General features: G+C 46.9%; 4 annotated features.

Moving 5' to 3' along the window:
• Nucleotides 19,346–20,294: an enhancer, noted in NCBI's record as "H3K4me1 hESC enhancer chr18:54745605-54746553 (GRCh37/hg19 assembly coordinates)". NCBI's record gives its function as "activates a minimal SCP1, AML or CMV promoter by ChIP-STARR-seq in naive H9 embryonic stem cells {active_cell/tissue: H9 hESC(naive)}" and the evidence as "EXISTENCE:reporter gene assay evidence [ECO:0000049][PMID:30033119]".
• Nucleotides 20,295–21,244: an enhancer, noted in NCBI's record as "OCT4-NANOG-H3K4me1 hESC enhancer chr18:54744655-54745604 (GRCh37/hg19 assembly coordinates)". NCBI's record gives its function as "activates a minimal SCP1, AML or CMV promoter by ChIP-STARR-seq in naive H9 embryonic stem cells {active_cell/tissue: H9 hESC(naive)}" and the evidence as "EXISTENCE:reporter gene assay evidence [ECO:0000049][PMID:30033119]".
• Nucleotides 20,580–20,649: an enhancer, noted in NCBI's record as "active region_13367". NCBI's record gives its function as "activates an Ori minimal core promoter by ATAC-STARR-seq in GM12878 lymphoblastoid cells {active_cell/tissue: GM12878}" and the evidence as "EXISTENCE:reporter gene assay evidence [ECO:0000049][PMID:35858748]".
• Nucleotides 21,245–22,194: an enhancer, noted in NCBI's record as "OCT4-NANOG-H3K27ac-H3K4me1 hESC enhancer chr18:54743705-54744654 (GRCh37/hg19 assembly coordinates)". NCBI's record gives its function as "activates a minimal SCP1, AML or CMV promoter by ChIP-STARR-seq in primed H9 embryonic stem cells {active_cell/tissue: H9 hESC(primed)}" and the evidence as "EXISTENCE:reporter gene assay evidence [ECO:0000049][PMID:30033119]".

Genomic DNA, 22,491 nt, shown 5'->3' with positions numbered 1-22,491 from the left:
CCCCATTACCCCAAGAAAATGTCCCCTCTCCTTGGTACCCCCCTTGCGCTCTGCCTTGTCCCCCTCCAGCTTCCTGTCTCACTTCTCTCCCTCACTTTTCCCTCCTGTCTTAAGCAATATAACTGTTTAATTTTTTTTGTTTGTTTGTTTCCATAGGTTTTTGGGAAACGGGCTGTCCTTGGTTACAGAAGTAAGTTCTTTAGTGGTGATTTGTGAGATTTTGGTGCACCCATCACCTGAGCAGTATACACTGAACCCAATTTGTAGTCTTTTATCCCTCACCTCCTTCCCACCCTTTCCCCTAGAGTCCCCAAAGTTCATTGTATCCTTTTTATGCCTTTGCATCCTCATAGCTTAGCTCCCACTTGTAAGTAAGAATATGCAATGTTTGGTTTTCCATTCCTGAGTTACTTCACTTAGGATAATAGCCTCCAATCCCGTTCGAGTGGCTGCTAATGCCATTAATTCATTCCTTTTTATGGCTAATTAATATTCCATCATACATATATACCACAGTTTCTTTCTTTTCTTTTCTTTTTTTTTTTGGAGACAGAGTCTCACTCTGTCACCAGGCTGGAGTGCAGTGGTGCGATCTCGGCTCACTGCAACCTCCACCTCCCCGGTTCAAGCAATTCTCCTGCCTCAGCCTCCCAAGTAGCTGGGACTACAGGTGCACGCCATCATGCCCAGCTAATTTTTGTATTTTTAGTAGAGACGGGGTTTCACCATGTTGGCCAGGATGGTCTCGATCTCTTAACCTCGTGATCCGCCTGCCTCGGCCTCCCAAAGTGCTGGCATTACAAGCATGAGCCACCGCGCCTGGCCTATACCACAGTTTCTTTACCCACTCATTGATTGATGGGCATTTGGGCTGCTTCTACATTTTTGCAAATGCAATATAACTTTATACCTCCTCTTTCCTCTTACTGGGATGCCCTCCTCCCTTCTTGTTACCTAGGAAACTCCCATTTTCCTCTCAAAACCTCCTTGGGTGTCACCTCCTCAGTGAAGATGTTACTGAACCTTCAAACCCCACTCGACCAGAGAGAATGCCTCCCTCTGCTGCATCCTTCCTCTCCCTTGGCATCACTAGATGGTTGCCCTGAATATAGTATATTAGATTTCTTTCCTTATTTGATTATCCTCCTTTTGAGGGAAAAAAGGGATTTTTATCTCTATACTTTAGTGCCAAGCACAGAGCCTAGGATATGGAGTAGAGGCCCCATAAATGTCTCTAAGTTTTGTTCAAACTCTACTTTGAGGTTGAAATTATAGGAGATAAAGGTATACAATGGATCTCCAACAACAGAATCAAGTGAGACTTCAAATACATCTTCACATAAGCCTACCTCACAATCAAGGAAGCATGATCGCAAATACTTATTGAGCACTTGTTTCATGCCATACTATCTTATCCCCAAGATAGCTCCATGAGGGGCATACCATTCTTACGTCTGTTTTCCAGACCAGGAAGCTGAAACTTTAAAAGAAATGTGCATCATGTCACACAGCTAGAAAGTGGCTAGGCTGGAATCCAAATGACTGCACTAGGCCACTTCCCAAAGAAGTCATTTTGGTGACCATCACGGTCATCAAAACATGACTTTCCCACAGACTTTGCACCCAGTGGGTCTCAGTCATGGGCGGTAGAAAGAGTTGCCCTGCATTGTAAGATATAGATAGAGGGCTTATGGGAAGATATAGAACTCATGGGAAGGTCCTTGACAAAATATTTTCTAACTGGTGTCAAAAATGTTGCTATTAATAATTTAATCCCTTCAAAGAAATAGCACATCAAGTCCCTAAGACTTCATGGTATGAAGAAATTTACCAGACATATTCCCATTCTAACAGTAAGGTTGTCACAAGGGTTTATGGGAGAGAGAGAGAGGGTAGAAAATGTAAAGATAGGGAAGTTGGCACTGAAAGCACGGAAGGTAGGGAGGTGGGGGGAGACAGATTCAGAAAATAAAGGTGAAGAATGAAGACCAGCTTCTCTGATTTTACAATTTGGCTTCTGGACCACGCGGATCTGGTCAGTTCCTACAGGAAATTGTTCTGGCCAGTGGGCATATCAGGTAAAAAGCTAGAAGCTCCTCAAAGTGTATTTTAAGTGTTTTGTTGTTGTTGTTGATGTTGTTCTTCTTCTTCTTCTTCTTGAGATAGGGCCTCGCTACGTTGCCCAGGCTGATCTTGAACTCCTGGGCTCAAGCTATCCTCCTGCCTTGGCCTCTCGAAGTGCTAAGATTACAGGCATAAGGCATTGCACCCAGCCTATTTAATAAAACATAATAAAAATGTAATGTTTTTATTACGTTCCAGCCTGTCTATATTGTGGGCTTTCTCCATCAGGAGCTGGGGTCTTCCTGTAAAACAACTCAGGTCCCAAACCTACCCAGGAAGACTCAGCCAAAATGTTGCAGTGTGTGTCCATCCAGGACTCACGCTATCTTGCAAAATCATTTTCCTTTGACTCTACCAGCCTGTGTGTCTGGTATTGTTCCTTCTCTTATCACTGCTCCCAAGCTGTCTTCCCCTGCATGAATCACTCTCTCTTGTTTCCCACTGCCTGACTTCTTAGCCTCAATATTTCTGCCTTCTCCCTTTGCTCTCTGCAGGAAACCGAAGTCTCAGATTTCACTTCTAACTGAAGCCTGACTTCTTTTCAGCGCGTATCAGAGCATCCAAGAACCCTTCAGACTCTAGTTTCCTCTGGCAGATGTGCTTGTCAGCAGCCACCCTGAAGGGCATCCCAGCCTGGGCAGTGCTCAGAAACTACTCAGACAAGGCAAACTGAGTGTGGGGGGTAGGGAGCACGAGACCCCACATCACAGGCTGTATTGCACCAAGCAGCAGGTTTGCCTGGGTGTAGTGCAAAGTTTCGTATTCATCTGAAAGCTTCGCTTTTGTCTAAGTGGCAACTACCTCACAGCATTGCTGCTTTGATTTAACATTACTATTCCTTCTCCTTCTCCTTCTCCTTCTCCTTCTTCTTCTCCTTCGCCTTCTCCTTCGCCTTCTCCTTCTCCTTCTTCTTCATGGAGTCTTGCTTTGTTGCCAGACTAGAGTGCAGTGGAGAGATCTCAGCTCACTGCAACCTCCACCTCCCGGATTCAAGTGATTCTCCTGCCTCAGCCTCCCAAGTAGCTGGGATTACAGATGCCCACCACTATGCCTGGCTAATTTTTGTATTTTTAGTAGAGATGGGGTTTCACCATGTTGGCCAGGCTGGTCTCAAAGTACTGAGCTCAGGCGATCTACCCATCTGGGCCTCTCAAAGTGCTGGGATTACAGGTGTAAGCTCATTGGTTTTCCCCAGGAAATGTGCAAGTCAGAAAATATCAAAATGTGTTCTTGTTAAGCCAGATTTCTGGAGGCTCTGGGGCCCTTCTGAAGCACAGATGTCCCCACCGAAAGGGGCCTAGAGTTCCAGTCCCCTCACTTCACAAAAAGGCTGGCTGCCAGGGCCACTCACCTAATTAGTGGTAGCATTTGGTTTAGAGCCCCAGGCTCTGAATCCCAGGCCAGTATCTTTTGACACACTTCCAATTTTCTTCTGAAAATTAGGAGTATAAAAAGCCCATAGTGAACACCTTCCAGAGTTGGAAGTCATTGAACAGAGGTCCGTAAAGAAAAGAACTTGAGCCCTTTGAGCAGGGCCTTCTCCTCTGGATCCCAGGACCCCTGGTGGGACTCATGAGAACCCCTCAAGGAGGCTGCATGTGGTTCAGCCTTACTAACCAGAAGTCTATGCCAGGGAGGATGGAAGATGAGGTGAAGAGGGAGGTACTGGCCAGAGCTCAAAATCTTGATCTGAGAGCTGGGGCAAGCTAGAGAATTGTTCCAAAGAGCAGGGTATAAGGCTCCATTGACACGGCGGGCCGCACAGGAGTGGGGAGGGTGGCTGGAGCCCAAGCAGAAGGAGATGCGTAAAGGTGAGGGATGCACTGGGTCACGGCACTGGACAGAGCGGGGGACCCACGGCCGGAACACAGAGGGTATGAGATCTGTAGGCTCTGGGGTGAGGCTGGGATCTCTTCCTCCAACCACAGCTGGTGCTGTTGGAAGACCACATTCTTGCTGGAGCAGAGAGGAGCAAAGAGCAGGGCTCCCTAGGGTTCGAGGATTCTGAGAAGAGCCTGAGGCTTTGCAAAGGCCAGAGCAATCAATAAGAGCATAAGACCAGTATGGAGAAGAAAGGGACAGGGTGGGAGAAAATGCAGGCGCCACGCTACTGGAGCTCCAGAGCTCTGAAAACAGATGGCTGGTTTAAGGCACTGGAGAGCTGGACAGAGCCCCAGCCTCTCCTGTGCTCAACATCTGCATTCTCTCTCTCTCTCCTTATTTCCTCCCTCTCTCTCCCCTACCACCCTTCCCTCTTTTACTGATTTTACCCTGGAACAGCTGTGTTTCATTTTGCCATCTGCAATTTCCTCATTGTCAACATTTAGCTTCATCTCCTCGCCATGCAAGTGGTTGTACTCTCAGACACATGAGGGACACAAGAAGCCCTTCTTTCCTGGGGACAATCTTTGTGGCACCGTTCTGCAAAAGGCTGCTTCGGATTCTATCTGGTAGCAACTAGCAGCCTGTGCTCGGGTATGTATGTGCACATGTGTGTGTGTATACATATGTGTGGGCATGTTTGTGTATATGCATGTGTGGGGGTGTGTGTTTGTGTGTGTTCCTGTATGTGCGTGTTTGTGTGCATGTGCTTGTGTGTGCCTGTATGTTTGTTTGTAAATGCATGTGTGTTTGTGTGTGCATGTATGTTCCTATGTGTGTGTGCATGTGTGGTTGTACGCATGTGTATATGTAATTGTGTGTGTGTTTGTGTATAGGCATGTAGGTGTTTGTGTGTGTTCCTGTATGTGTGTGTGTTTGGGTTGGTTTGGATATTATTGTTGGTTTGTCTCAGGGAGGTTTGGTTTTCTTTTTCTTCTCCCCAGCTCTGCTGTAGAGAGGAATGTCCCCTTCCTGGGACATCTGCACTCTTCACTCCACTCCCTTGCCCATGCAGACATGGCAGGAGTGTCCTGGATGAGAAAAGCCCCAGGCTGGGAAGGTAAGAGCACTTGTTCTTTTGCTGTCTGGGAATCTGCACTGACATCTGTGCAGTCAATCAGTCTGTTCTCCTTGAACTGCCTTTACAAAATACAAACACAGGATCCATGAATGTCATGAGAACTTTTTAGCACCTTTTACTCAATCGTTAGCTTCAGTCCCTTAACGAGCTCCTGAAGAGATGGGCCTTACAGCATGGAGAGGCCTTCCAAAGACAGAAATGCAACGAGGGGCCCAGTGGGGGTCTGAGAGCAAAGGACAAGGTGGGCTAGGAAGTCCCTAGGAACACCTGGTTAGAACCAGGTTAAGCTGGAGAGAAAAGAGCAAAGGAAAAGTTTGCACACATTGTCACCTTCCCTAGAGCCACCAGTCCAGCCCCGGTGTCTGTCCTAAGACATAGACATTTCTGCCTCTGTATTCACTCTTCTTCAGATGTATTGGATTGAGTTCATCTTTCTACTAAGAACGTAGTACGGCTTTAGAAAATGAAAACAGCTTTTAGTATAGGAAGCATGATAAATTCACCCCAATCTTTTCATCCCCAAAGCTATATGAATGATATCTGGAAGCAGCCATAAGAGGACAGATGAGTAGTGGAGGGTCAGAGGAGAGGATTCACGGACAAGTACTCTTCTGCCATTGGGTACTGCAGTTGCCTCCCCAGCATCCAGTCCTAGAATCATTGCAGTAAAGCAGCGCTGATGTTCAGAGATGTTCAGATTAACCCCACCTGACACCCTCCCTTGGCCACAGTGATTGGTTTTGCTAATTCAGGTTCACCTGTCCAGGGCCTAACATTATCCTGGCCATGGTGATTGACTCAGGGTGGTCCAATCAGCCCAAACCCCAGGGCTCTTGTTCTAGGGTTGTGAACAACCAGTTACTGAAATTGAACAAAGACACATACAGCCTCAGTTGCTGCTGGCTACTATGAGAGAAGTCAGCATTTACATTGATCCCCAGAGAAAAAGAACCGAAGAACCTGGGTCACTGATTGATAACAGGGACATGGGTCTAACTGAGTGGCTGGATCAAGCATTCTGAAGTCCGCCCACCTCTGAAATTTTCAGCTATGGGAGACTCTGCATTCACTTGTTAATGTCAGTTTGAAAGAGAGTTTCTGTTATTTGCAACTGAAAACATCCTCTTACATTTGCTTCTGAACACTGGTGTTTCCCTGATGTCTTTGGCTCAGATATCAGAGTGTCTTCATTGGGATAGGCAACTTGTCTCAGATGTGTGTTCTTGGCCTCACTACCTGTTTGCCAAACTCCTTTCACCTGGATCTAGGGCTCAGGTTTTAAACTTGGCAATGTCAGCCACAGGCCCTACTCCTTCGTTCATTCATTCATTCATTCACTCACTCAGAGAACTTTTATGAAATTCATTATGTGCCAAGCATTATGGTGGGCACTAGGAATAGAGAGAAAAGCAAGTCAAGAATTTTACCCCTAAATAGCATCTTAAGCTCATTTGTAACCTCGTCAGGTACAGTGTGTTTTATCCATGATTTCCTCCACGGAAATGTTTCTTTGTGGTTACCTTAGGGCAATTGCTATGGAACTTTTGCCTGAGGTTCTTGAAAACTCCCTGAGAGACAAGAGTTTGAGCTGGAATGGACACCACAGTTCCTGGCTCAGGAAGCTCATGTTGAGCTGGGAAGGCAATAGTGATACACAAGCATCAATTACAGCACCAGGAAAGCTGGATAATTCAATCCAATTAGGAACTAACTTATTGGGTGAGGCCCTGCTCCAGAAAGAGAGTCAAGAAGCTTCCAGTCCTCAGGTGGATTTCTAAGCAAATCTCCATCTTTCTAAAAGACTGCATTCAGCAATCTCTGAAGCTCAAATACGATTATAAAACTCCCACTTTGGAGTCATGGCTATTGGAAGTAGATTTCAAAGACTGGAGGTTTAGGCAAAACCCCAGCAGCCTAATACACATGAGTTTGCAGTTTTACAATGTGGTCAATATTCCATTTTTCTAGCTCCCTTGCCTTGTCCCACAGCTGTCTGTGGTTCTATTTCAGCATCCACCACAGCCTGTCTGGTGGAATTGTTACTTGTGTACCTTTCTCCCACCTGGCTGACCTGTGCAATCCTTGACAGCAAGGAGGGACAGAAGTTCTGCTCTGTAGAAACAACTCTAGAAAACACTGACATAGTGCTTACCTTGCATATATTTATCCTATCCTCATGACAGTCCATGGTATTATTATAGTATACCCATTTCAAAGTTGAGAAAACTGAGTCACCAAAAGTTTAAATAACTTGGCTGTGGCATTTGCATAGGGGCAGAGCTAGGATTTCAAACAGGCAACTGGATTTTGAAGTTCTTGCTCTTAACCATGGTGCTATCATATTTATCTTTAGGCACTCAATACAAGTGTGTGGGATTAAATGAAAGTTAACAGAGGAGATCCCTATAGCAAATACTCATAGCAGAAGTTCACGATCCTCCCTTCTGCTGACTGTTCACTAGGTTCTAAATGCCAGAAAGAGAGGCAGTTCAGGAATAGGAAATTGGAGGTGAGGTTCCAGGAAAAGGAGAGAGAAGTCTCTTTAATTGAACTCTTTCCTGAGGTCTTTTTGATGCCTGTTGCGGAAAGTCATGACACTGGAAGCCCACCAGGTCTAATATTTTTATATTGTCTGCAAAACTCTGACCTTGTGCAGGGCCATCAATTTTCTATAATGCAGTGCAATGTTTTAAAATCATAGTCACAGGATCTTTGACATTCCCTCCAGGAGAAGTGGAGTCTCTGTGCACTCTCTTTGAATCTGTAGTTGGAAGAGGAGCCTAATGACTTCTTTGACCTAAGGATTGGGGTGGAAATGACACTATGTGACTTCTGAGGCTCAACCATAAAGCCATACAGCTTCCACCTTCGTGGCTAGGAACACGTGTTCTTGGAACCCTCCACCTCCATGCAAGAAGTTTCACTGTGCTGAGACCACCATGCTGGAGAGGCCACATGTCAACGCTATGATCAACAACCCCAGCTAAGCCCATCTTTCAGCTGGCCAGAGGCCACCCTGTAAATGGATATGCCAGCCCTGGCTCTTTCAGCCCCGGCTCTTTCAGCCCCAGCTCCAGCCATTTGAATCAAGCCAGAAGAGCCATCCATACAGCTTCCTGTCCCACGGAGCCGGTGAGCATCATAAATGCTGTTGTTTTATGCTCTTAAGGTTGGGGGTGGCTGGTTATGCCATCAATAACCAGAATATTTGGGAGCAGCCTTACACATTTGGTAGGATTGGATGAGAAAACACGGAAACAAATTTAATTTGGGGCCTGACTGTATTGCAATTTTTTCAAAGATTGTCTTGACCCAGTTTGAGACCCGGTTAGAGGCAGGTCCATTCTTCTTCCTGAAACTGATTACGTCCACACCCCCAACCACCTCCCTGATGGGGCTCTCACACTCAGGGTCACTCTTCCTCTGTTCTGATCACCCCAGGGCCAGGTACCAGAAAACAAGGGACAGCCTCAACTCCCTACAGTCCACTGAAATTATTCAAACTAGTCAATCCTAAACTGGCTGCCCCCCCGTTTCCTTCCGGTAGAAACTACTTGCCCTCCACTTCCCGAGCAACCTTCGGTGCTAGGCTGTGTTCTCCCCAGGAAGCTGTGAGTAACAACACTGAAAACTCTTCCTGGTTCCCCCTTTCCATCTGCACTGGCCTCACCACACTCCACCCAAGGGAATGTGGTTTAAACAGTGACATCGAGTGTGTCATTCATCTGGGTCACCTTCTTCACCTTTGCCCCTTCCTTTCATGTCCTAATTTTTTATCATTAAGAAGCAGCACATTTCTGAAAAGGCAAACATAATCAACCTGGCTGCAAGACAGACTAGGAGAAGAGTGAAGGTGTGTTGGTTTGCGGACTTTGGGAAGCACAGTGATGGGGCAGGGGCAGGCAGGGAGACCACAAGCAGATGATCTGTGGGTCCCTAATGGACCAGTGGCCCTGTCCTGCATGCTGTGGTGAGGGATAAACCATCCATAAAACTGTTTCCTTGGCCAGGTGCAGTGGCTCACACCTGTAATCCCAGCACTTTGGGAGGCTGAGGTGGGTGGATCACTTGAGGTCAGGAGTTTGAGACCAGCCTGGCCAACATGGTGAAACCCCATCTCTACTAAAAATACAAAAATTAGCCAGGCATGGTGGTGCATGCCTGTAATCCCAGCTACTCGGGGGCCTGAGGAAGAAGAATCGCTTCAACTTGGGAGGCGGAGATTACAGTGAGCCAAGATCACGCCACTGCACTCCAACCTGGGCAACAGAGACAGACTCCATCTCAAAATGAACAAACAAACAAAAACTTTTCCTTGACATCGTGAGTGTTATCCAATGCTCTAGTCGTTTACCGTATGGACTAGCATCTTGCCTCTGTGCATACTCACAAAATTACATAACACATGCACCCGGTTCAGTAAACATCCTGTGATTAAAACCTGGAAGTCTGATATTGCAGAGCCACCTGCAGACATGCTTCTCAAACTCCAGTGCACTCTGAGTTCCCCAGGGATCTCACTGAAGTGCAGATTCAGAGTCAGCAGCTCTGGGGCGGATCTGATGAGATTCTGCACAGCACCCAAGCTCCCAGGTGATGCCAGGGCTGCTGGTCCAAGACCACACTTTGAAGAGTGAGGACTTGCCAACCTTCAAGACCCAGTGCATCAGAACCCAGGATCCTGGGAAGTCTTTTGGGTCTATTCCCCGTGAGCAGGGTGGTTCCAGCTCTGAGGAAAACTTTCCATCACCCCAGAGAGTCCTGTGGCCACTTGAACGTGAACGGGTCTGACCAGCTCCTTTTCTCCCTGTCCTCCACCCCAACAAAATAAGATGATGGAGACCTTGAGTGCTAGGCCCTGCTTCTTTTTTCTTTTCTTTTCTTTTTTTTTTGTTTTTTGTTTTTTGTTGTGTTTTGTTTTTTGTTTTTTGAGACAGAGTTTCACTCTGTCGCCCAGGCTGGAATGCAGTGGTGCAATCTCGACTCATTGCAACCTCTGCCTCCCGGATTCAAGAGATTCTCCTGCCTCACCCTCCTGAGTAGCTGGGACTAGAGGCACCTGCCACCATGCCTGGCTAATTTTTGTATTTTTCGTAGAGACGGGGTTTCACCAGGATGGTCTTTAGTAGAGTGGGGCTGGCCAGGCTGGTCTTGAACTCCTGACCCCAGGTGATCCCCCTGCTTCAGCCTCCCAAAGTGCTGGGATTACAGGTGTGAGCCACCACGTCCAGCCTAGGCCCTGTTTCTATGCGACCCTGCCACAGGGATATAGGGCCCCAACTTCTTCCCTTGTGCCCATCTAATGCTTCCTTTCCAGCCTGTCTCCTCAGCTTTCTCCCCCCGCGCCCCCAGCCCTGTGGTCTCCCTGACTGATTGGTTCACACACCCAGCCCCACCCTCACCACTAACACACCCAGTCCGGGAAGTGTGAATATTTCTAGACTGATGTCATTATCTCCCGAGAAGTTCATTCCCTGGAGGCTTCTACCTTCACCAGGGAAACGTTTAGTGAGGAGGCAGCTGAGGAAAGAAGGCATCTTTGCTTTTTAAAATCCAAGTAAAGAAAATGTTAGAAATGTATAAAGAATGCAAGTGAAGGACGAAGTGGCAAGGACTCCAAATCCCCCACAAAATGTCTGCATTTCTTTATTCCCTGAGACTCCTGGAAGTCATTTTCCATTTTTTACAGAGTTTAGAGCTAGTTATTATTATGCAAATCTGAGGTGTGCCAATTCGCCTCCACCCCACTGCCTGTGATGCTTGGTAGATTTGGAACACGGGATACAGAAAAGAATGTGTCTGGACTCTAAGAGAAGGATTGTCAGGTAGCTGTTAGTGTTTAAGGCAGGGGTCCCCAGCTATCCTCGTAGAATTATGATCACCCAATGGGTTCTTTTTGCCTGCTGTACAGATAAGCCCAATTCACTGAGACAGTATTAGTACAGTAGAGAAAGAGTTTAATTATTGCAAGGCAACTGACAGGAAGGATAGGAGTTATTACCCTAATCTATCTCCCCCAAAATTTGAAGTCTAGGGTTTTTTAAAGGACAATTTAGTAGGCAAGGAGCTAGGGAATGGGGAATGCTGATTGGTTGGGTTAGGAATGAAATCATCGGGAGTCAAATTGGCTTCTTGCTGTCTTCAGTTCCTGGATAGAATCACAAAACTAATTAAGCCAGTTTATCAGACTGTGTGATACCAGCAGGTCCATCAGAATGCAGGGTCTTAAAAATACCTTGAACACCAGTCTTAGGTTTTACAATAGTAATGTTATCGATAGGAGCCATTGGGGAGGTTAGAAATCTTGCAGCTTCTGTCTGCATGACTCCTGAGCCGTAATTTTAACCTAGTGACTAATTTGTTAATTTTACAAAGGTAATCTCAGTCCCCAAGCAAGGAGGGGGTAGTGTGGGAAAGGGTTATTATCATCTCTGCTTTAAGGTTAAACTATAAACTAAATTCCTCTTAATGTTAGCTTGGCTTATGCCCAGGAATGAACAAGGACAGCTGAGAGGATAGAAGCAAGATGGAGTCAGCTATGTCAGATTTCTCTTACTGTCCTCATTTTTCTATGTTAGATTTTCTTATTATGATAACTTTTGCCAAGATAGTTTCAGAATTGAGGGGCTAATGCCAACAAATATGAAATTCTCCTGGTTCACCGAGAAGGCTGTGGCTAAGAGGGCTTGGAAAAATGATTTAAAGAAGCATCTTCAGATAAACCCTGTTGAATTTACTCCATCCCACGTCCAATGAGCACTTTCTACAAGCTTTCTGATTCTCTCCCCTAGGAGATGGTCAATGCCTCAGGTGGCTGGATTTGATCTTGCGTTTCTGAAATTGTCCTCACAGGTTTAATAAGAATTACATGCCAGGTTCTGAAATATAGTTATAATTAAGCATTAATCAGGCCACATTTTGTGGCCCACTTCCTTGTAACCAAAAGTCACATCGCACTAAGGACTGACCATTTGCATCCGTATTGTTTCTATAGGTAGGATGAATTGCTTAAGATGTTCTTCAGAACCTGAATTCCCTGGAAAGGCTGATGCCAACCAGTTTGAAGACCCCAACAGAGGGACTGAATCAGCTTGAGAATGTAGTTTCTTTGTCACCCTGACCCATGATTTCACCCTGCATTCTTTGACCAATTCACAATTCTCACACCTTAGCCCATTTCAAAACCCTTAAAGTACCTAGCCCCAAACTCCTCAGGGAGGCAAATTTGAGGTTTCCTCTCATTAACCTACTATTAAAACACTTTTGTTGTTGTTGTTCAGAGTCTCGCTCTGTCACCCAGGCTAGAGTGCAGTGGCATGATCTTTGCCCAGTGCAACCTTTGCCTCCTGGGTTCAAGTGATTCTCCTGCCTTAGTCTCCCAAGTAGCTGGGACTACAGGTGCACACCACTACACCTGGCTAATTTTTTTCGTATTTTTAGTAGAGAAAGGGCTTTGCCATGTTCCCCAGGTTGGTCTCGAACTCCTGACCTCAATAATCTGCCTTCCTCGCCTCCCGAAGTGCCAGATTACAGGTGTGAGCCACCGCGCCCATCCTAAAACACTTTCTCTGCTGCAACCCTCGGTGTCAGTGTATTGACTTGCTATGCAACAGGCAATGTCCTATTATGGCCACATTTCCTATACTCCCTGCTGCAGTGGTTCTCAAACGTGGTCATAAGGCAGAGCTCCTGGTGTCAAAGTTTAATTGTAAGTAAAAACTTTTAAAAATTAATTCAGATACCCTAATCATCTAATCTCAAATTGCCACCCTACCATAATCACATTGCCCTATTTCAATTCTCCACAAAGAGCTTCACTGGCAGATATTTTTCGTGTTCATGTATGTGTGCATTTATTGTCTGCTTCACAGGCACACAGATTCTCTTTTTTATGTAACTCAGTTTTCTCTTCTTTGTCTTCGCTGCAACACAATCTCCACCCCTCCTCGCCAGCCCCCCAAGGCAGAGCTGTTGGAACCACATATTGCTTTGCCACTAATTACTCTAATTACTTTGCACTTCATTTGCATATGAATTTCCTGTAGGATCATTATCGTAAGGTTACAGCATCATTTCCTGGGCAATCCAGGTGGCCTTTGGCCAACGGGCCTTAACTCTACTTGGTCAAACTCTAATAGCGTTCTTAGTTCTCCCTAATCCTCCAACTGGAAGGGCACAAAACATTCTAGAGTTCATCGTTTCCCATCTATGCCTGTGTCAGCCTGCATCAAGCCACATGTTCTTTCCTAAAGCCACTGCCTCAACTCACTTTAGTTTTACTAATTCGCCATGATATTTTCCTTCTTCCAGTGCAATGGATTCCACTTCCAAGCAATACTGCCCACTCAACAACATGCAGCACTGGGGAAAGCGGGATAGTGACTTGAACTCTGAAGTTGGAAACAGACAAAAGAAAAGAAAGAGGAAGAGAGTAAAATAGATTGACTATGAATTATTTCCCGGTTCCCCTAAGGCTCTTTCAGTTGTGACAGGAAGTGACTCAAACTGGCTTAAGCATGTGGAGAGGAGGTCATTATAAGTGTGCCTCATGGAACCCAACCAAGAGCGAAAAGGACCCTAATCCTCCCCCTGAGGGCTAGGACGCAGTACACAAACACCATCCTCATGCCTCATTTACTCCTCTCTCTGTTTCTCTCTTCCCAGGTTTCTCTGCTTCCCTACACAGATCGAGCAGCTAAGCAGCTCCACAACCTTTAGCATTGCACATGTGCACAGCACAGAGGCTAAACAGAGACTCCTGAGCCCCAGTTCTAAATATCTGGGGAAAGTAACTTTACAGTCCTGTTTTCCACCAGCCGTGGCAAGGCAAGCAGTCCCCGGGAGGTGGAGTGAGGCTGGCCAGATCTCAAAAGCCCTGATGCACTTGTCCTGAATCAAAGGCACAGATAGGTGCTCTCAGCTTCCCCTCTCCTCACATCTCTATTACCACCACTTCCTTCCCTGTCTTTCATTTTCTGTTTATTTCGTTCAGTCTCTTGTTTCCATCCTCCTAAATAACAGGGCGGAAGGTTATTTAGAAAACAGTTGACCTCATGCAGTGCAGCCTCACTGCTTGGCGACTTTCTGTATTGAAGCATACACATTTGGTGCTTACGGTTTCATCTGTAAAAATGCCAGTAGGACCTAGGCTGGCTGTGACAGGAAGCCACACCTCCCCCTTCCTCTACTTCTTTGCTCTTGTATGTCCTGCACCAGCCTGTGTCACACCTATTAATACCCTTTAATGAAAGTACTCACTGAAAAGTTCTTCTGATGTAGTTAAGACAGGTTAATGATTGTCCTGCCACCATGTGAGGGCATTCTATGATGAACATGGAGTGGATGAAAACGTAAAGCAATCAATGTTTTCTATTTTCTAGTTCATTCATTCATCCCATATCTCAATCTTGCAGTTGAACAGTCAACTCACCAAAGTTCTGGGTCTTTTTCATTTTCTTGCTCTCTTGTTCATGGTGTATAATGAAGGAATGAGAGACTGGGAGAGAAAATTAGCATAATGAACCACTGGCACATAAAACAGGAGAGAAGAGCAAAAAGAGGACTTGCAGAGAGAACACATGAGGGACTAGAATGCGAGATGCAGTCTGAGAAAATCATAAATCCAGGGATGGAATGCATGAAGCAAGGAGAATGTGAATGTTAGATTCGCCTAGCAAAAACAGTGAATTTAAGAACGACTTTGTGAAGGTCCTGTGTCGGTTATGCATTGCCACTATATGCTGGTAATGGACAATCACAAAGTCTCAACGGCATTCAACAATAAGTGTATGCTCACATCCAAACATCTGGAATCAGTGAAGGGCTGACTATATGCTTCTGCTGAACTGCTAACTGCTCACAGGTCAAGGTTGGCTGATCTTGGCTAGGTTCATCCAGGCACTGCAGTTCAGCTGGCTTGCTCATGCCTCTGCTGACATCCCATTGACCACAGCAAGTGACATGGCTGAGGTCAGTGTTAAAGGATAGGGCAGGTCACACTGCCTGAAGTGCAGTGGGAGGAAGCTCAGATTCACATAGTGAAGAGTATGGCTATAGAGAAGGGTGAAAAATTGGGGCCATTGTTGCAACCAAGCAGGAGTATCACACTTAGAAAAAGTTCAAAAGCAACTGCTTCATCAGTAGTTACCACTGTTCTGAGTCTCTAACCTCTTGACTCTAGGCTGGGCTTGAGAATGTGGTAATTTTATACAGCCCTAAGGGGCACAGACATACTCTGTGGCTGGAGGATCTGGACTGTAGCAAGCAACATGCCAGCAGTAAGAAGACAGCAGGAGTAGCAACATCTGCACAGAGACTGGGGATTTACCTTCACTTTACAGCTTCACGTTTGTGTCTCAGTGCCCTAAAGACCTTCACTTCTATCTTGAGAGGTTCTTCCCTGGGGATAGGGTAGCTATATTTGATCAATCACATGGCCCTAAGAAAATTAATGACTAACATTGAAATACATATTTTTTCCTACTTTTCCCTCCAAACAATGTTAAACATATTTATAAAACATGGAATTTAAAAGCCTCTCTGGGTCCTCTCACATAACCTTTGCCAGATCTTATCAACAAGACTGATCCAAATGCTTCTTTTTAGTTTTCCATGAACCCTTTATTGAGGCCAGAATCCTTTCTGCTCAGCCTAAAAGTGGAGGAGTTCAGGTTGGCAGTAAAATGCCTGCAGGTTTCTTTTCTTCACTTGTTGTGACCCCTTTTCTCCTCAGTCACATACTTAGGTTTTTGAACTACAGTAATTCAAAAAATGACCTATATACCTACAATAGAATATTATTCATCAACAAAAAGAAATAAAGTACTAATACATGCTACAGCATGGCTGATCCTTTAAAACATCAGCTACATGAAAAAAAATCAGTCTCAAAGGACCACTTATTTATGATTCTGCTTATATGATATGCCCAGATAGATAAACCTATTGAGACAAAAGATAGGCAAGTGTTTTCCTTTGGCTGGGAGAGATAGAGAGATTGGGGAGTGATGGCTAAAAGGTGGGGGGTTGCTTTCTAGGGTAGTGAAAATGTTCCAAAGTTGATTGTGGTGATGGATACACAACTGTGAATACACTAGAATCATTGAATTATATGCTTTAAATGGATGAAGTGCATGGTATGTGAATTATATCTCACTACACTAGTTTTTTTAAAAATATAGCTTGTTTTTTAACATTCCAGATCCACTAAGGCATCTGTGCCACTTCCATGCAGGTTCCTGGTAACTTTTCTGCCATATAGCTAACGAAAAAAGGGAGAAAAGAGCCACATAGAACATGTATACAAAAAGAGAGCAAAATCCCCCATGAATATTTTCCTGTTTCGGAAGAAGTGATGCTCTATTTTAAGTTTCGACACCTTTGCCGCGTGCCACACAGTGCCCCTCCGCACAAACGTCCTGCAGTCTGTTGTGCTCCATGGTGCTCCCTTCCGTCTGCATTTTGGTGTGTTTTAAATAGTTCAAAACCACCAGAAGGCTCACAAGGAAACAGATTCTACCGCGGCTTTTGTATCACTAACAACTTAGAAAAGGCATTTGTGAAGATGCATTTGCCTTGATTACATTGCACGTGTATTTTTTTCATCTGCTCTATTTTCACTTCCTTCATTAAAAGCCTGTCTTGAAAGAAACTTGACATCTCCATAGCCTTTGGTGACTCTCAGGCATTTCCCTTCCATGCCCCACCCCACTCCCCACTCCCCCGCCCCACCGGCTTTTTTTTTTCCTACTCAAAAACGCATTGACATTTTATTGGTTTATAATATCTATAATTTCCTGATTATGTTAATGTACCACAATCCATAGATTAAATAAATTTTATGCATGAGTTACATCAGACCTAGAAAGTATTTTAAAGTGTTTTCCAGAATAAGAACTTTGAGAAATGCTGTCAAGAGTGAGAAGAAAGGCAAGGATGGAAGAGCTTGAAAGTGTGAAGGCAATGGCAAAGTTCTGAACTCATCACTCTGGAGAGCGAAGGAGGGAAAGTTGGCAGAGAACCACTGTAGGGTTGCTGGGCAGTTTTGAGGCTTTATTTGAGATTGGAGTTTGTACGTTTCCAGTGGCATCCATCTGTCTGTCCTATTGTGAGACTTCCTCCAACAGTCCTCAGCTCCTTGAATGAAGGCAGATAATTGGGTTCATCCAAGATTGGCATGTGTTGAAAAGATAGAAGAACCAGAGGGTCTGATCTGCTGAAAAGAGCGCTACTGAAATGATGTGCCAAGTCAGTCTTTTTTTTTTTTTAACAAAGAGAAAAAGACGCGAGTTCCCAAACCAACTCTGCCTCTTAGGAGGCATTCACTGCCTTCCTAAGCCCTGTGCCCCTGAAGAGGGTCTTTGATGGAGCCTCAGAATTGGTGCTTTCTGGCCTGGGCCCCAGAGCAAGTGGGCCTAAGTCTGCAACCCTGGCCACCTGCCCCCTTTCCTCTGCAGGTGCAGCAGCAGCACCCTACAACTGGGCTCAGGCCAAAGGTGAGTGACCGTAGGATGTGGGCCATTCTGCTGATCAACCTCCATCCAACCTCAGCAATCCATAAAAACAGCCCTGTCACCGAGAGGCTGCCCTCTGGAGCCATCAGGGCGCCTGTGGGAGGCAAAGAACAAGAGCTGCCTTCAGAGCAGACTGTTGCAGAGGAGCCCAGACAGACTAGGGGAAGATTCCTGGGGCTCCTCAGCAAGGCTGGCATGAAAACAGACAGGGACTCACAGGTTCCTCAAAACAGGAAAAGTGTCGGCAGTGACCCAGTGCACCCCTTCTTTCAGAAAAAGGCCTCTCACGGTGGGAGTCAGTGCTATTCATCAGATGACTTCCGGATCTCCCCTGGGGCACATGGCAAGATTGCCCTTCCTGCTCCACATAGCCATGTGACATGTTCAAGCCAGTGAAAAGTGAGTGGGAATATAAATGTCACTTCCTGGGTAGACTTAAGAAAGCACCCACTCATGATACATTCTCTTTCTCTCTGCAACAGGGAATGTCAAAGATACTCACTCTTGTATCTGCCTGCAGTGCAGAATGAAGAGAACTACAACAAAACTCCTCAGCCATGGGGGATCTGTAGCATGAGGCAGAAAGAAACTTTCATGACCATAGCATAATCTAGAAATAATCTTTTGTTAGTTACTGCAGCATGATCACCTAACTCATCCTGACTGACACATCATCTGATGAACAAATACCCCAGACTCGTGCAGTGAGAAAATGAAGGGAAAAGGAAGGTGTCTTAGTCCATTCAGGCTGCTGTAACACAGTTTCTTGGACTGGATAATTTATAAACAACAGAAACTTGTTGCTCACAGTTCTGGAGGCTGGGAAGTCCAAGATCAAGGTGACAACAGATTTGGTGTCTGGCGAGGACCCATGCTCTGCCTCATAGATGGCACCTTCCAGCTGTGTGCTCACATGGCAGAAGGGAAAACAAACTTCCTCAGGCCTATATTTTAAAGGCACTAATCCCATTCATGAGGACTCCGCCCAAAGCTCCACCCCTTAACACTATCTCATTGGAGATTAGGTATGAAGATATGAATTTTGAAGGGACACAAACATTCAGACCACAGCAGAAGGAAGCTAACATTTATTGATCACTTCTTTTGTGTCCCTTCTGCTTCTCAGGGCTGTTTATCTCTGCCCCCATCAATCATGGGTTGATTTCAGAGTTTAATCCTCAAAGGGCTGAACTTGTCCCCTTGTTCCCTTGTTTGTGAAGGTGCGGAGCAGCTCATGCTGCTGTCTAGAGGGAAAGTCCACAGTAACTTTTAGGAAACTTCCAACTCAGCATCAGTTGTGTCCAAGTGTTGGGGTTGGGGGGTGCTTGGTGAAGGATGGGGGCATGCAGGGAGAAAAACGCCAAGTCCCTTCATTTAATTAGTGATCTTGGGCCTGCAGGAAAAGAGAGAACACCCAGACGGGAGCAGAACAGTAAACTGCTCTCATGTACCAGGAGCATGAGAATGGCGCGGGGCTGGACAGGAGAAAAAAGAGTGGGAAGGCAGCCGAGCAGGCAGGTCCTGGCAAGGTCACGACAGCTAATGAAGCAGCAACAGGAAAGGGACAATCCCCTCTAGAGGGTGGAGATCAGAGTGCTGGGGTTCAAACAAGGAAAAGCCTCACACCTCTGGGACATCCAACCATTCATTTATTCACTCAACAAATACTTATTATTCACCTACTATGTGCCAGGTAATTTTCTAGGTGCTTGGAAAAAATAGCAAACAGAACAGACGATAATTCCAGCCCTCATGGAGCTTCTGTCCTAGAGGAGAAAAACAGATATGAAACCCACAAATAAGTAAAATATACAGTCCGTCCAATTGTGACCACAGCTATAGAGAAAATAAAGCAGGCAGTGTGTAGGGAATACAGGGTTGGGGCAACATTCAACAGAATTGCCAGAAAAGGCTCCTCTGAGAAGGTGAGTGACTCATGGGTATTGCAGGGATGGCATGTTTGCAGGCTCTGAGAGACAGTGTCCTTAGTACATACAGATGGCTAGGACCGGGGGGACCCAGGGCTGGATGTCCCTCCCACTTGATAGCACAGCCATTGAGTCAAGTGCACATGTATGGTTGGGATATGGTCTTCCTTTGTACAAGAGGAGATTTCTAATGCTTGTATGTGGAAGTCAGGATAGCGGCTCTGTTTCGCCCATTGATGGTTGGCTAAAGCCCTGGACAGCCCAGGAGGCCTGAATCCCCTCCCCGACACCCACTGCTGCCTCCTCCTAAGGCCTCACCTGGGCACACAGAGCCGGGGGGCCCCTGGCAGGCCGTCTGCAGGTCTTTTTCCCATGCCTGCATCTGTTTTCCTGACTCTGAGAAGGGGGAGGGAAGGCAGGCTCAGGGAAGGCTCCGTGTTTAGGAGCCAGCAGTTCACGGAAATGGCCTTGCCAGGTCCTGGAGGATGGATGGGCTGGTTACACCAATTGTCCGTTAGTAACTCCGGGTCCATTTGCCAGGTTCACATTCTCAATTCATAAAGGTTTAAAACTATGGATTTTCATTTTGCTTGTTGCACCTGTAACCTCCCAAGCATCCTCCAGGGCGTAGGGTGTCAGGCTGGCAGCCAGGCCTGCGAAGTAATGTAGCACCTCTGCAGGCGAGATGGGTGCTTGGGGAGAAGGGACATTACACAGATCAACCACTGCAAATCAATCAGGCCTGCCTTGCCTTTCAGGGACATTGGCTGTGGCTGCTGTGGTCTGCCCTGTCATGTGTCAGGGTGTGTGTGTACAGGGAGGGAGGGGTGGAAAATTCTGGAAAGTACTGGAGCTTCTAGCCCTGGTGAGGACAGAGGAACCAGGCCAAAACCCTCACTCTCAAATAACCAAGTCCACCAAAGGGCCACCACTTCCAGTCTCCCCTGCCCAGCCCACAACTCACAGGCTAAACTCATCACATCAGCACAACACTGCTCTCCCCAGATGCTTGCTAAGAGTGGCCAACAGTGCAGAGGACAGGAGCCAGGAACAACTTCTACAGGGTGGTGTTCCCCGGCCACCCTAGCAGACCTGACCACAAACCTGTGCACACACCCACGCCTTCCTCTTTGGGACCCCAGAGGGAGCCACCAGGGTGTTACCACAGTACCCTGGGGACTTCCTTTTATGGAGCCCTCGAGAGGGGCGGAGGAAGCCACATCTCAAGATTTGGTCACGATCACCTGCACATGACTATCATGGGGCCTGTTAAGGTCGCTGTGAAGGGACAGCAGAGAGGCAGAGGCCTTGGGACACCTCTGCCACGGCTCCTATGTCCTCTTCCGCATGCCTGCCTACAGGGTGTGTGTGCGCAGACGCACCCATCGCTAAATATTTCAGCAGATGAATGATTTTGGAGCGGGTGAGCAAGAGGCTGGAATAATGATTTATAGAATTTTAGAAAACTTGATTCCTTAAGTGTACTTCACAGCAGGGCCATCACACACACAAAGGCAGAGCTCTGCGATTGATCCTTTCAGGAAAGAAGAAAGGGGTGCCTGAGAGCCCTTTCAGCTTCATTGCTAGGGCACTTAGCAGTCATCAGCAACCCCGCCCCCACCCCTCCCGCACTGGTGCAAGTCCCTCACCCCGGGCCCCACCCTTGACCAAGGACCTGCCAATGGGGTGCACTGTTCCCTTGGCAGGGGCCTCTGGCTTCCTGCGCCTACCCTGCCCAATCCCCACGGCTAAGTTTTGCCCCCTCTGGGGGCTTTCCAATGGTCATCCTGACTCTACCAGAGCTGGCCTTGGCCTGAGCACAGTTCTGGGGAGTCCTGCCCAGAATGGCCACTCCCAGAGACTGGCTCCTCAGCACCCAGGAGGGTTCTCCACATGGCCCCTTCCCAAGCCCATGGGAGCCCTGCAGAGGACAGGCAAGGCCGCCACCGGCAAACTGGGCCCTCTGCCCCACAGACTCAGGCTGCAGCTCCACAATCACTCCCTCCCCTGGCCCAGCCCTGCAGCAGCTCACTCTCCAGGGTGGAGAACATGCCTTCTCGGAGGTCTCTCTTGTTCCCCCGAGAGAGACCACTGTGCAGCCAGGAGCCCCTGACTCCAGAGAGTGCTCATGAGAAGTCTCTGTCTTCTCATCTGTAAAATGGGATCACACATCATGACGGGCAAGAGACTTGAGGGCAGCAGGTGAACATCTGTGTGTGTGTGGTCCTCGTTCATGTTTATGACCATCATCCTTGTCAAAGAGGAATTTTAAAAGACATCAAGGTACCCATCTCTCACCTTCCCACAGGTATGCCATGTGGGAAATTGTCACCCCACTCTCACGGATCACCATGATGTCAGAAGGCTTTTGGGGTGTTTCTGGTTCAGAAAGTGGGAGCAATCCTGATGGGATCAGCCAGACTCAGATTCTCCCAGGGCAGCGAGGGAGGACGTGATCCCTCAGTTGCCGTCTCTCTGCCAGGGAGTTCCAATTGGCCAGGAGGCCATGTACACCATGGTGGTCCCAGCATGGAAGCGGCCCCCTATCCCTGACTCTCCTTGTCCTCAGAGGCCCGGTCCTTCCAGAGGTTGGCCGTCTGTGTGAAAGGCAGACTGTCACTGTAACAGTGAAGAAGGGATTCTGTGGGGACAGACACTGGCACAGGCCTCCTTTGGGCCAGACCTCTGTCCGCTTGGGTATCAGCTGGTCTGGCCCCAGCTTGGGCAGTGCAGAAGAGGGTCCCAGCAAGCCAGACGAGAAGCAAGGCGGAATGGCCACTGCCCAGGACAATCATTGAAAGCTTTCATGTTCGGGGACCAATTAATTATCTGAACCTCCCGATTTGAAAAGGAGGATGTTTAATCTCCCGCTTTCCCCAGGGTCTCAGCCCTTTGACCCCGCTTCTTGACCCCTGCCCTTCCACCTTGCTGCCTTCCCCAGAGGCCCGATTCTGTGCAGTCGCTT

Source organism: Homo sapiens, chromosome 18 (assembly GCF_000001405.40).
Source record: "Homo sapiens chromosome 18, GRCh38.p14 Primary Assembly".
NCBI classification, from domain to species: Eukaryota; Metazoa; Chordata; class Mammalia; order Primates; family Hominidae; genus Homo; species Homo sapiens.
This window is presented reverse-complemented; position numbering and strand designations above follow the sequence as displayed.